The following is a 15,237-nucleotide window of genomic DNA, read 5'->3' as shown; positions in this document are numbered from 1 at the left end:
TTCCCCTTCTCCCCTGCTTAGCCCCAGCCACACCCAGGGGTCCCATGGAGCTGGATTAGTCTTTGTACTGTGGTGAGCATGATATAGAGGTTTTCACCCAAAAGCAGGGTTTTGCTAGGGAGACAGCAGGAGCCTGAGTGGGCAGGGAGAGATGTCAGAGGGAAATGGGTATGGAGCTGCAAATGGGCAATCCTCAGACCACCTGCCCAGAGTCATAACTTTACCTGGGACCAGCGCCGAGCACTTTCATCCTCTTGCCTTGGCCCTTTCTTCCAATTCCTCTTCCTTAAGGGCCTTATTTTCCCTTCATGGATACATTTGTTTTTCAACTGTATCTTTAATTGGGGTGTTCTTTAAGCTTAAATGCTGACTTGTTCTTTTTTCTTATATGAATGGAAGCTGCTATTAACCTTCTTTTTGGTTCACATTTCATACATGTGGGAATGTGTCTACATTTATCACAAACCACCTGTGATATTTTTTGTTCCCCTTTACTTGGGAAGTTTTATTTTACAAGCAATGTTTCTTTATGCCCTGCATGTCAGGTATTTATCACCTTAACAAGTTTAGGTTTGCCATATTTTCATTAGTTTTCAATGGAATCGTTCATCATATGTTGTTTTCCAGGATTGCTTTTTATGGTGTTAGTTGCAATATACTCTACTCAGTTGTTAACACGAATCCTTTTTCAAGACAGTCATATTAGAGTGCATAATTATTTTCAGTTTTCTTTCCAAAGTTATAAATGAAAATTAATTTTTAGGCACTATTTTATTTTTTTCTTAAAATAGTCTATCAAGTTCATTAAAAATATTTATAAAAGAAGACTTCCAAGGTCATCTTATGAAACTCCTCATTTTGTTTTGAAGAAATTAAAGCTGATTATTTAGGGAATTCTATATATTAGAGTATAATTTATTGGAAGAGCAAGCCCATTGCTCAGTGAAGAAAAATATTGGTATGTAGAATCTAAAAAAATTGCATAAATAGAAACAAAGAGTAGAATGGTGGTTATCAAGACCAGGGAGGGAGAGGAAGTAGGAAGATATACATCAAAGGGCCCAAATTTTCCATTAGGTAGGATGGATAAGTCTAGAGATCATATATGCAGCATGAGATGTATACTTAATAATATTGTATTGTATGGTAGAAATTTGTTAAGATAATAGGTTTTTGATATTCTTTTTCTTCATTTTTTTTATTTTCATAAGTTTTTGGAGAACAGGTGGTATTTGGTTACATGAGTAAATTCTTTAGCCATGATTTATGAGATTTTGGTGCACCCATCACCCAAGCTGTATATACTGAACTCAATTTGTAGTCTTTTATCCCTCACTTACTTTCCACCTTTTCCCTCAAGTCCCCGAAGTCCATTGTATCATTCTTATGCCTTTGCATCCTCATAGCTTAGCTCCCACTTATGAGTGAGAAGATATGATGTTTAGTTTTCCATTCCTGAGTTATTTCACCTGAAATATTATTCTCCAGTTCTATCTAGGTTGCTGTGAATGGCTTTAATTTGTTCCTTTTTATAGCTGAGTAGTATTCCATTATATATATATATATATATATATATATATATATATATATATATATATACATATACACATACACACACACACACACACCATAATTTCTTTTTCCACTTGTTGATTGATGGGCATTTGGGCTTGTTTCATATTTTTGCAATTGTGAGTTGTGCTGCTATAAACATGCATGTGCAAGTATCTTTTTTGTATAATTACTTCTTTTCCTCTGGGTAGATACCAAGTAGTGGGATTGCTGGATCAAATGGTAGTTCTACTTTTAGTTCTTTAAGGAATCTCCCCTTTTTTCCGTAGTGGTTGTACCAGCTTACATTCCCACCAGCAGTGTAAAAGTGCTTCCTGTTCACTGCATCCACACCACCAACTATTATTTTTTGATTTTTTGATTATGGCCATTCTTGCAGGGGTAAGTTGATATTGCATTGTGGTTTTGATTTGCATTTCCCTAATCATTAGTGATGTTGAGCATTTTTTCATACGTTTGTTGGCCATTTGTGTATCTTCTTTTGAGAATTGTCTCTTCATTTCCTTAGCCCACTTTTTGATGGGATTGTTTCATTTTTCTTGCTAATTTAAGTTCCTTGTAGATTCTGGATATTAGGCCTTTGTCAGATGTATAGACTGTGAAAATTTTCTCCCACTCTTTGTTTACTCTGCTGACTTTTCCTTTTGCCGTGCAGAAGCTCTTTAGTTTAATTAAGTCTCACCTATTTATCTTTGTTTTTGTTGCATTTGCTTTTGGGTTCTTGATCATGATGTCTTTGCCTAAGCCAATGTCTAGAAGGGTTTTTCTGATGTTATCTTCTAGAGGTTTTATAGTTTCAGGGCTTAGACTTAAGTTCTTGATGCATCTTGAGTTGATTTTTGTATAAGGTGAGAGATGAGAATCCAGTTTCATTTTCCTACATGTGGCTTACCAATTATCCCACCATTTGTTGAATAGGATGTCCATTCCCCACTTTAGGTTTTTGTTTGCTTTGTCAAAGATCAGTTGGTTGTAGGTATTTGGGCTTACTTCTGGGTTCCCTATTCTGTTCCATTGGTCTATGTGCCTATATTTATACCAGTACCATGCTGTTTTGGTGACTATGGCCTCATAGTGTAGTTTGAAGTCAGGTAATGTGATGCCTCCAGATTTGTTCTTTTTGCTTTGTCTTACTTTGGCTACACGGGCTCCTTTTTTTTCATATGAATTTTAGGATTTTTTTTTTCTAGTTCTGTGAGGAATGATGGTGGTATTTTGATGGAAACTGCCTTGAATTTGTAGATTGCTTTTGGCAGGATGGTCATTTTCTTTTCTTTTTTTTATTATTATTTTTTATTTTTTATTTTTTTATTATTATACTTTAAGTTTTAGGGTACATGTGCACAATGTGCAGGTTAGTTACATATGTATACATGTGCCATGCTGGTATGCTGCACCCATTAACTCGTCATTTAGCATTAGGGATATCTCCTAATGCTATCCCTCCCTGCTCCCCCCACCCCACAACAGTCCCCAGAGTGTGTTGTTCCCCTTCCTGTGTCCATGTGTTCTCATTGTTCAATTCCCATCTATGAGTGAGAACATGTGGTGTTTGGTTTTTTGTCCTTGTGAAAGTTTACTGAGAATGACGATTTCCAATTTCATCCATGTCCCTACAAAGGACATGAACTCATCATTTTTTATGGCTGCATAGTATTCCATGGTGTATATGTGCCACATTTTCTTAATCCAGTCTATCATTGTTGGACATTTGGGCTGGTTCCAAGTCTTTGCTATTGTGAATAGTGCCACAATAAACATACGTGTGCATGTGTCTTTATAGCAGCATGATTTATAGTCCTTTGGGTATATACCCAGTAATGGGATGGCTGGGTCAAATGGTATTTCTAGTTCTAGATCCCTGAGGAATCGCCACACTGACTTCCACAATGGTTGAACTAGTTTACAGTCCCACCAACAGTGTAAAAGTGTTCCTGTTTCTCCACATCCTCTCCAGCACCTGTTGTTTCCTGACTTTTTAATGATTGCCATTCTAACTGGTGTGAGATGGTATCTCATTGTGGTTTTGATTTGCATTTCTCTGATGGCCAGTGATGATGAGCATTTTTTCATGTGTCTGTTGGCTGCATAAATGTCTTCTTTTGAGAAGTGTCTGTTCATATCCTTTGCCCACTTTTTGATGGGGTTGTTTGTTTTTTTCTTGTAAATTTGTTTGAGTTCATTGTAGATTCTGGATATTAGCCCTTTGTCAGATGAGTAGGTTGCGAAAATTTTCTCCCATTTTTTTAGGTTGCCTGTTCACTCTGATGGTAGTTTCTTTTACTGTGCAGAAGCTCTTTAGTTTAATTAGATCCCATTTGTCAATTTTGGCTTTTGTTGCCATTGCTTTTGGTGTTTTAGACATGAAGTCCTTGCCCATGCCTATGTCCTGAATGGTAATGCCTAGGTTTTCTTCTAGGGTGTTTATGGTTTTAGGTCTAACATTTAAGTCTTTAATCCATCTTGAATTGATTTTTGTATAAGGTGTAAGGAAGGGATCCAGTTTCAGCTTTCTACATATGGCTAGCCAGTTTTCCCAGCACCATTTATTAAATAGGGAATCCTTTCCCCATTGCTTGTTTTTCTCAGGTTTGTCAAAGATCAGATAGTTGTAGATATGTGGTGTTACTTCTGAGGCCTCTGTTCTGTTCCATTGATCTATATCTCTGTTTTGGTACCAGTACCATGCTGTTTTGGTGACTGTAGCCTCATAGTATAGTTTGAAGTCAGGTAGCTTGATGCCTCCAGCTTTGTTCTTTTGGCTTAGGATTGACTTGGCGATGCAGGCTCTTTTTTGGTTTCATATGAACTTTAACATAGTTTTTTCCAATTCTGTGAAGAAAGTCATTGGTAGCTTGATGGGGATGGCATTGAATCTATAAATTACCTTGGGCAGTATGGCCATTTTCACGATATTGATTCTTCCTACCCATAAGCATGGAATGTTCTTCCATTTGTTTCTATCCTCTTTTATTTCATTGAGCAGTGGTTTGTAGTTCTCCATGCAAATCAATAAATGTAATCCAGCATATAAACAGAACCAAAGACAAAAACCACATGATTATCTCAATAGATGCAGAAAAGGCCTTTGACAAAATTCAACAACCCTTCATGCTAAAAACTCTCAATAAATTAGGTATTGATGGGACCTATCTCAAAATAATGAGAGCTATCTGTGACAAACCCACAGCCAATATCATACTGAATGGGCAAAAACTGGAAGCATTCCCTTTGAAAACTGGCACAAGACAGGGATGCCCTCTCTCACCACTCCTATTCAACATAGTGTTGGAAGTTCTGGCCAGGGCAATTAGGCAGGAGAAGGAAATAAAGGGTATTCAATTAGGAAAAGAGGAAGTCAGATTGTCCCTGTTGGCAGACGACATGACTGTATATCTAGAAAACCCCATTGTCTCAGCCCAAAATCTCCTTAAGCTGATAAGCAACTTCAGCAAAGTCTCAGGATACAAAATCAATGTACAAAAATCACAAGCATTCTTATACACCAATAACAGACAAACAGAGAGCCAAATCATGAGTGATCTCCCATTCACAATTGCTTCAAAGAGAATAAAATACTTAGGAATCCAACTTACAAGGATGGTCATTTTCACAACATTGGTTCTACCCATCCATGAGCATGGGATGTTTTTCCATTTGTTTGTGTCATCTACAATTTCTTTCAGCAGTGTTTTGTAGTGTTCCTTGTAGAGGTTTTTCACCTCCTTGGTTAGGTATATTCCTAAGTTTTTATTTTTTTGCAGCTATTGTAAAAAGGGTTGAGTTCTTGATTTGATTCTCGGCTTGACGCTGTTGGTGTATAGCGGAGCTACTGATTTGTGTACATACATTTTGTATCCTGAAACTTTGCTGAATTCATTTATCAGTTCTAGGAGCTTTTTGGAGGAGTCTTTAGCGTTTTCTAGGTATACAATATACAATCACATCATCAGCAAACAGTGACAGTTTGACTTCCTCTTTATCAATTTGGATGCCCTTTATTTCTTTATCTTGTCTGATTGCTCTGGCTAGGACTTCCAGTACTATGTTGAATAGAAGTGGTGAGAGTGGGCATCCTTGTCTCGTTCCAGTTCTCAGAGGGAATTTTTTCAACTTTTCCCCTTTCAGTATTATGTTGGCTGTGGGTTTGTCATTGATGGCTTTTATTACATTGAGGTATGTCCCTTGGATGTTGATTTCGGTGAGGGTTTTAATCATAAAGGGATGCTGTATTTTGTCAAATGCTTTTTCTGCATCTATTCAGATGATCATGTGATTTTTGTTTTTAATTCTGTTTTTGTGGTGTATGACATTTATTGACTTGTGTATGTTAAACCATCCCTGTATCCCTGGTATAAAACCCACTTGATCATGGTGGATTATCTTTTTGATATGCTGTTGGTTTTGGTTAGCTAGTATTTTCTTAAGGATTTTTGCATCTATGTTCATCAGGGATATTGGTCTGCAGTTTTCTTTTTTTTGCTATGTCCTGTCATGATTTTGGTATTAGGGTGATACCGGCTTCACAGAATGATTTAGGGAGGATTCCCTCTTTCTCTTTCTTGTGGAATAGTGCCAATAGGATTGGTACCAATTCTTCTTTGAGTTCTGATAGAATTCAACTGTGAATCCGTCTGGTCCTGGACTTATTTTTGTTGGTAATTTTAAAATTACCATTTCAATCTCACTGCTTGTTATTGATCTGTTCAGGGTTTCTAATTCTTCCTGATTTAAGCTAGGAGGGTTGTATATTTCCAGGAATTTATCCTTCTCCTCTGGGTTTTCTAGTTTGTGTGTGTAAAGGTGTTCATAGTAATCTTGAATAAAATTTTGTATTTCTGTGGTTTCAGTTGTAACAGCTCCCATTTCATTTCTAATTGAGCTTATTTTGATCTGCTCTCTTTTCTTGGTAAATCTTGCTAATAGTCTAACAATTTTATTTAACTTTTCTTAGAAGCAGCATTTTGTTTCATTTATCTTTTGTATTTTTTTGTTCAATTCCATTTAGTTCTGCTCTTACCTTGGTTATTTCTTTTCTTCTGCTGGGTTTGAGTTTGGTTTGTTCTTGTTTCTCTAGTTCCTTGAGGTGTGACCCTAGATGTTTATTTGTGCTCTTTCAGACTTTTTGATATATGCATTTAATGCTATTAACTTTCCTCTTAGCACCACCTTAGCTGTATCCCAAAGGTTTTGATAGGTTGTATCACTATTATCATTCAGTTTAAAGAATTTTTATATTTTCATCTTGATGTCATTGTTGACCTAGTGATCATTCAGGAGAAGGTTATTTAATTTCCATGTATTTGCATGGTTTTAAAGGTTCCTTTTGGAGTTGATTTCCAATTTTATTCCACTGAGGTCTGAGAAAATACTTGGTATAATTTCAATTTTCTTAAATTTGTTGAGACTTGTTTTGTGCCATAGCATATGGTCTATCTTGGAGAAAGTTCCATGTGCTGATGAATAGAATGTGTATTCTGTGGTTGCTGAGTGCAATGTTCTGTAAATATCTGTTGTTAACTCCATTTGTTCTAGGGTATAGTTTAAATCCATTGTTTCTTTGTTGACTTTCTGTCTTGATGGCCTGTCTAGTGCTGTCAGTGGAGTATTGAAGTCCCCTACTATTGTTGTGTTGCTGTCTATCTCATTTTTTAGGTTTAGTACTAATTGTTTTATAAATTTGGAAGCTCCATTGTTAGGTGCATATATATTTAGGATTTTGATTTTGATATTTCCCTGTTGGACAAGGCCTTTTATCACTATATAATGTCCCTCTTTGTCTTTTTAAACTGCTGTTGCTTTAAAGTTTGTTTCATCTGATATAAGAATAGCTACTCTTGATAGCTTTTGGTGTTAATTTGCATGGAATGTCTTTTTCCACCCTTTACCTTAAGTTTATGTGAGTCCTTATGTTAGGTGAGTATCTTGAAGGCAGCAGATACTTGGCTGGTGAATTCTTATCCATTCTGCAATTCTGCATCTTTTAAGTGGAGCATTTAGGCCATTTACATTCAAAGTTATTATTGAGATGTAAGTAGTAATCCATTCGTTGTGCTATTTGTTGCCTGAATACCTTGGTTTTTATTTATTTATTGTATTTTTATTTTACAGTCTGTATTAGTCCATTTTCATGCTGCTGATAAAGACATATCCAAGACTGGGCAATTTACAAAAGAAAGAGGTTTAATGGACTTACAGTTCCATGTGGCTGGGGAGGCCTCACAATCATGGCGGAAGGTGAAAGGCACATCTCACATGGTGGCAGACAAGAGAAGAGAAGAGGGCTTGTGCAGGGAAACTCGCATTTTTTTGTTTGTTTTTGTTTTTTTCAGATGGAGTTTCTCTCTTGTTGCCCAGGCTGGAGTGCAGTGGCACTATCTCAGCTCACTGCAACCTCTGCCTCCCGGGTTGCAGTCTCAAACTCCTGACCTCAGGTGATCCACCTACCTCAGCCTCCAAAAGTGCTGGGATCACAGGTGTGAGCCACCATGCCTGGCCCAGAAACTCCCATGTTGAAAACCTTCAAACCTCATGAGACTTACTTGCTATCATGAGAACATCATGGGAAAGACCTGCTCCCATGATTCAATTACCTCCCACTAGGTCCCTCCCACAACACATGGGAATTTAAGATGAGATTTGGGTGGGGACATAGCCAAACCATATCATTCTGTCCGGAGCCCTCCCAAATCTCACGTCCTCACATTTCAAAATCAATCATGCTTTCCCAACAGTCTCCCAAACTTTTAGCTCATTTCAGCATTAACTCAAAAGTCCACAGTCCAAAGTCTCATCTGAGATAAGGCAAATCCCTTCTACTTAGGAGCCTTTTTATATTACAGGCCATATAGGAAGTTACTTACTTCCTATATACAATGGAGGAATAGGTATTGGGTAAATAAGGCTCTTCCAAATCATAGAAATTGGCCAAAACAAAGGGGCTACAGGCCCCACACAAGTCCAAAATCCAGCCAGGCAGTCAAATCTTAAAGCTCCAAAATGATCTCCTTTGACTCCATGTCTCACAGCCAGGTCATGCTGATGCATGAAGTGGGGTCCCACAGCCTTGAGCAGCTCTGCCCCTGTGGCTTTGCAGGGTATAGCCCACCTCCTGGCTGCTTTCATGGACTGGCATTGAGTGTCTGCGGCTTTTTGAGGGGCATGGTGCAAACTGTCAGTGGATCTACCATTCTGGGATATGGAGGACGGTGGCCCTCTTCTCACAGCTCCACTAGACAGTGCCCCAGTAGGGACTCTGTGTGGGGGCTCCAATCCCACATTTCCCTTCCACACTGCCCTAGCAGAGGTTCTCCATGAAGGCTCTGCCCCTGCAGCAAACTTCTTCCTGAACATCCAGGCATTTCCATACATCCTCTGAAATCTAGATTGAGGTTCTCAAACCCCAATTCTTGACTTCTGGGCATGCACAGGCTCAACACTACATGGAGGCTGCCAAGACTTGGGGCTTGCACCCTCTGAAGCTACAGCCCAAGCTTTGCATTGGCCCCTTTCAGCCATGGCTAGAGCAACTGGGATGCAGGGCCCCAAGTCCCTAGATTGCATGCAGAAGAGGGACCCTGAACCTGGCCCACAAAACCACTTTTTCCTCCTAAACCTTTGGGCCTGTGATGGGAGGGGCTGCTGCAAAGGTCTCTGACATGCCCTGGAGACATTTTCTCCACTGTCTTGATGATTAACATTCAGCTCCTCGTTATTTATGCAAATTTATGCAGCCAGCTTGAATTTCTCCTCAGCAAATGGTATTTTCTTATCTATCACATTGCCAGGCTGCACATTTTCCAAAATTTATGCTCTGTTTCCCTTTTGAAACTGAATGCCTTTAACAGCACCCAAGTCACATCTTGAATGCTTTGCTGCTTAGAAATTTCTTCCCCCACCTACCCTAAATCATCTCTCTCAAGTTCACAGTTCCACAAATTTCTAGGGCAGTGGTAAAATGCCACCAGTCTCTTTGCTAAAACATAACAAGAGTCACCTTTGCTCTAGTTCCCCCACAAGTTCCTTATCTCCATCTGAGACCAACTCAGCCTGGATTTTATTATCCATGTCATTATAAGCATTTTTGTCAAAGTCATTCAATACATTGCTAGGGAGTTCCAAACTTTCCCACATTTTCCTGTCTTCTTCTGAGCTGTCCAAACTGTTTCAACCTCTGCCTGTTAACCAGTTCTAAAGTCAGTTTCACATTTTCAGGTATCTTTTCAGCAGCCCTCCACTCTATGGGTACCATTTTACTGTATTAGTCCATTTTCATGCTGCTGATAAAGACATACCTGAGACTGGGCAATTTACAAATGAAAGAGGCTTAATGGATTTACAGTTCCACGAGGCTGGGGAGGCCTCACGATTATGGTGGAAAGTGAAAGGCACATCTCACATGGAGGCAGACAAGAGTAGAGAGCTTGTGCAGGAAAACTACCATTTTTAAAACCATCAGATCTCATGAGACTTACTCGCTATCACGAGAACCATCACGGGAAAGTCTTGCTCCCATGATTCAATTACCTCCCACTGAGTCCCTCCCACAACACATGGGAATTCAAGATGAGATTTGGGTGAGGATACAGCCACAGCATGTCATAGGTCCTGTGCGATTTATGCTTTAAATAATTTCTGTTTTGATGTATTTCCAGGATTCATTTCAAGATTTAGGGCTTCTTTTAGCAGTTCCTGTAGTGCTGGCCTGTTAGTGGTGAATTCTTTCATCATTTGTTTGTCTGAAAAAGCATGTATCTTTCCTTCATTGATGAAGCTTAGTTTCACTGGATACAAAATTCTTGGCTAATAATTGTTTTGTTTAAGGAGGCTGAAGATAGGACCCCAATCCCTTCTAGCTTGTAGGGTTTCTGTTAACCTGATAGGTTTTCCTTTGTAGGTTACCTCGTGTTTTTGCTGCAAAGCTCTTAAGATTTTTTCCTTTCTCTTGACTTTAGGTAACCTGATGGCTATGTGCCTAGGTGATGATCTTTTTGTGATGAATTTCCCAGGTGTTCCTTGGGTTTGTATTTAGATGTCTAAGCCTCTAGCAAGGCCAGGGAAGTTTTCCTTTATTATTCCCCCAAATATGTTTTCCAAACTTTTTGATGTGTCTTCTTCCTCAGGGGTACCAATTATTCTTAGGTTTGGTTGTTTAACATAATCCCAAACATCTTGGAGACTTTGTTCATTTTAAAAATTCTTTTCTCTTTGTCTTTGTAGATTGGGTTATTTTGAAAACCTTGTCTTCAAGCTCTGAAGTTCTTTCTTCTGCTTTTTTGATTCTATTGCTGAGGCTTTTCAGTATATTTTGCATTTCTCTAAGTGTGTCCTTTATTTCCTGAACTTGTGATTATTTTTTATTTATGCTATCTATTTCACTGAAGATTTCTCCCCATTTCTTGTATCATTTTTTTAAATTTCCTTCAGTTGGACTTCACCTTTCTCTGGTGCCTCCTTGAGTAGCTTAATAATTGACCTGAATTCTTTTTTCTGGCAATTCAGGGATTTCTTCTTGGTTTGGATCTGTTGCTGGCAAGCTAGTGTGATTTTGGGGGAGTATTAAAGAACCTTGTTTTGTCATATTGCCAGAATTTTCTCTGGTTCCTTCTCATTTGGGTAGGCTATGTCAAAGGACAGATCTGGAGCTCAAGACTGCTGTTCAGATTCTTTTGTCTTATGGGGTACTCCCTTGATGTTTTACTCTCCCCCCAACCTTTTCCTAGGGATGTGGCTTGCTGAGAGCCTTACTGTAGTGATTATTTCTCTTCTAGATCTAGCCACTCAGTGGGCTACCAGGCTACCGGCTGGTACTGGGAGGTGTCTGCACAGAGTCCTGTGATGTCTTGCTTTCTTCAGGTCTCTCAGCCGTGGATTCCAGCACCTGCTCTGGTGGAGGTGGCAGAGGAGTGAAATGGACTCTGTGAGTGTCCTTAGTTGTATTATTGTTGTTTATTGCACTAGTTTTATGCTGGATGGCCTCCTGCTAGGAATTGGCACTTTCAAGAAAGCATGAGGTGTGGTAATATAGGGAGGATCAGACTGTGGGTCGGGCCCTAGAACTCCCAAGAAAATATGATCTTTGTCTTTAGCTACCAGGGTGGGTAGGGAAGAACCATCAAATGGAGGCAGGGTTAGGCATGGCTGAGCTCAGACTCTTTTTGGGTTGGCTTGCCGCAGTATAAGCCTCACCCAGGTCACGTGCAACTTAAAAAGCTGGTCTCATTCCCACCCTACACCCCCCTAACAGCACCGAGTTTGTTTCCAGGCAGTGGGTAGGCAGGGCTGAGAACTTGCCCCAGGATACCAGCCTCCAAGCTGAGAAAGCAAGCAGGGCTTTCGCACCTCCCTGCCTGTCGAGTCTGCACACCATATTCATGCCCTCTCCCAAGTTCTGGTCAGGAAACTTCATGTTCACTTGGAATTGTTACACAATTCAGCTGGAGGTTTCCTTCTCCTTGTGGTCTTTTCCCAGTTCCTCTGGCAGCCTTCCCCAAGGACCCCTGAGAGACAAGTCAGAAATGGCTTCCCTGGGGACCAAGAGTACCTACAGGTCTTTTCCTGCTTCTTCCTCTACCCCTGTATTTCACTCAGCTCTCTAAATTATCTTAGCTCCAGGTAAGGTCAAATCCTTCTCCTGTGATCTGCACCTTCAGTGATGGTGTGTGTTCAGGGGTGGATGATCCCCCTTTCCCACTTTCACAGTTTGGGAATTCACAGTATTTGTGCTGTCTCCCAGGTTCTGTGGGAGCAATCTGCCTCCTTCATAGGATCCATGGATTCTCTTGGCTTTCCTGATATATTCCTGCAGTAGTTCTTGGAGCAAAAGTTTATGATGTGAGTCTCCACACACTGCTCTGTCTGTGTGAGTGGGAGCTGTCATTTTGTCCTGCCTCCTATCTGCCATTTTTTTTTGGATTTTAGGTATCCTTAGCATATTAGTCCATTTTCACACTGCTGATAAAGACATACCCGAGATTGGGCAATTTACAAAAGAAGGAGGTTTAATGGCCTCATGACTCCATGTGGCTGGGGAGGCCTCACAATCATGGCTGAAACTGAAGGCACGTCTCACATGGTGGCAGACAAGAGAAGAGAGCTTGTGCAGGGAAACTCCCCTTTATCAAACCATCAGATCTCATGAGACTTATTCATGATCACGAGAATAGCATGGGAAAGACTCACCCCCTTGATTCAATTACCTCTCACTGGCTCCCTCTCACAATACATGGGAATTGTGGGAGCTACAATTCAAGATGAGGTTTGGGTGGGGACATAGCCAAACCATATCACTAACCACAAAAAAGGGATAACTATGAGAGGAGATAGATATGAAAATCTTTTTGATGGTAGTAATCATCTTACTATATATATATACAGATATTCAAAAACCATGTTTTACACATTAAATATAGGTAATAAAATATAAAATAAAGTTCCTTTTAAAAGGTAAAAAAGAAAACAAATTGACTTTGTGTAAATCATACTGACTGTGGGAAATGGGTTTGGACAGCAGCAGAGGAGGACCTATTCTTCTTCCTATTTTGGGTCCCTCTGAACTCCCCCTAGGTTTTATGGGTTTTAATGGGTTGAGAGCAAGTCTAATGCAGCTGAAACTTCCTTGAAATGCTGCAACACTGGATGAAAGCCAGCAGGAACAGGTTTCTCATTTCAACCAAAGAGATTCAAAGGCTTAGACTGAGGACATAACAAAGTTATCAGTTTTTTTTCTTTTTCTTATAATGTGCTTTGTCTGAAAAAAAAAAAAAAACACCCTACTTTTATAAATGCAAATCAACTGTAAGAGAAAATAGATTATATGCACTCTCTGAGTCCAGAAACTAGTATTTCCAAATTGAGATGAAATAATTCCCTTAGGAAAAATACTTTTCTGATCATTTACAGATTTAGAATGGCATTTGTAGGCTTTTCATTCATGCCCTTATACATTCATTCATTTCACTCACTCATTCATAGTAGCCTTTATCAAGTGCCTGCTGTTTTCTCACCCTGCCTCTCCCATTATTTCTTTGAACAGCAACCTATTTAGAAGGCTGCTAAAAAAGATTGGCAAGTTGATTGTTATTTTTAAGTGCAATCTGAATGCCGGAAATCTGAAGGTTGTTGGAAAGGGCTTTGGAAATAGGCTCATCATTCCTGCTGAGAATTTGCAGGGGACCTTTTGAAAACTAATTGCCAGGGGAAATGCCACCTGCAAGGCTCTGTATTTCCTCTTACAAATTCACAAGGCACACCTGGGATGGGACTCACACTGACCCTGCTTGCTGATTCATGTGGAGCCTCTTCTTGTCCTTTAGTTTCAGTATTTTTCTTTTCTTTTCTTTTTTTTTTTGTCACACGGGTCTTTGGCAGTTAACATCACAGCTTCCCAGGTGACCGAGTAGGGAAGACTAGATACTTCTTATGAAAGTCAGCGTAAAATAGAGATTTCAGAGACCAATGAAAGAGACATTTCCACAGCAGGTATCTTGGCTGTTTTGATGTTCTTTCTTTTCAACAATAGAGAAACCAACTTCTTGGTTAAAAGTAAATGCGTAACTTCCCTGAGAAGTTGTACACAGTCAAGTATTAATGTTATATCAATGTACCTTCCCTGCCTATTAAATAAGATCCATCTGCATCTCCAGATATGGGTCGAATTAGCCAAATTCTTTAGAGAAGATATAAAATTAATGAAATATTTAATTTGTATTACATCATGCTAAATATTGTATCTGACCAAAATGTTCACTTACTGACTAGTGATGAGGTACCATATAAAGGTAATTCACATTTCAGTCTTAGAATTACAAGATGAAAGAATTATTTGTCCATATGATTACATTTATTCTGAATGTGTGGGGATGGAGAGAGCAACTTAGAGTCCGTTTTGTGAGTCCTTTATGTAAAAATGATATGATAAAAAAGGATTAATTTCTTAGTTCTCCATCTTAATTTGTCAGCGTAGATATTGGCTTTCCCCAAGACACTTAGGTGTTTATTAGGAATTTCTATGAAATAAAATTATGTAATGAGTAAAAAATTGTATATGTTTGTTGTATGTGTGAAGCTGAAGAATGAGTATGCATACATGCATATGGATACTTTGAATAAGTAGCAAAACAGTTACAAGTACTTTAAAACTAAATGTGCTAATTAAAAAATGTATTTGGCCTAAAGTATGTTTTTTCCTTTTATATAGATTTTTAAATTAGTATTTTGCTCAAACATATTTCTTGGCACTTCTACTGGGCAGGCCTGCCTTATTCTACCAAAATTCTCCCTGACTATTGAGCCTGCTATCCTCTGCAGCCTTGCTGCTTTAAAGTGTGATCTGAGGCCCAGTGATATTGACTTTTCTTGTAAGCTTGTTATAAATGTAGAATCTCAAACTCTGCTCCTCACCTAGTGAATCAATCTTCATTTTAGCAAAATCCTCATGTAATTCGCATGTACCTTAAAGTTTGAGAAGTCCTCCTCTTCAGAGCTGTTTTTAAAAATCAAACACATCATCAACACCTCCATTCCTTTTCTTCTTCTTGTGTTCCTTGTCTCCATTAATGATATTTCAATCTTTCCAGTCAGCCAGACTGAATATGACAGTCATATTTGTCACTTCCATCTCTCATGTTCCTCACATCCCATCCATCATGAAAGCCTAGCAATTAC

At 39.0% G+C, this 15,237-nt stretch overlaps 2 annotated features.

The window, feature by feature from the left end:
* Positions 13,086–13,662: an enhancer, noted in NCBI's record as "OCT4-NANOG hESC enhancer chrX:130611727-130612303 (GRCh37/hg19 assembly coordinates)". NCBI's record gives its function as "activates a minimal SCP1, AML or CMV promoter by ChIP-STARR-seq in naive and primed H9 embryonic stem cells {active_cell/tissue: H9 hESC(naive and primed)}" and the evidence as "EXISTENCE:reporter gene assay evidence [ECO:0000049][PMID:30033119]".
* Positions 13,663–14,240: an enhancer, noted in NCBI's record as "OCT4-NANOG hESC enhancer chrX:130611149-130611726 (GRCh37/hg19 assembly coordinates)". NCBI's record gives its function as "activates a minimal SCP1, AML or CMV promoter by ChIP-STARR-seq in naive and primed H9 embryonic stem cells {active_cell/tissue: H9 hESC(naive and primed)}" and the evidence as "EXISTENCE:reporter gene assay evidence [ECO:0000049][PMID:30033119]".

Source organism: Homo sapiens, chromosome X, assembly GCF_000001405.40.
Source record: "Homo sapiens chromosome X, GRCh38.p14 Primary Assembly".
Taxonomy (NCBI): domain Eukaryota; kingdom Metazoa; phylum Chordata; class Mammalia; order Primates; family Hominidae; genus Homo; species Homo sapiens.
The sequence above is the reverse complement of the archived record's forward strand: the minus strand, read 5'-3'. Positions and strand labels throughout refer to the sequence as shown.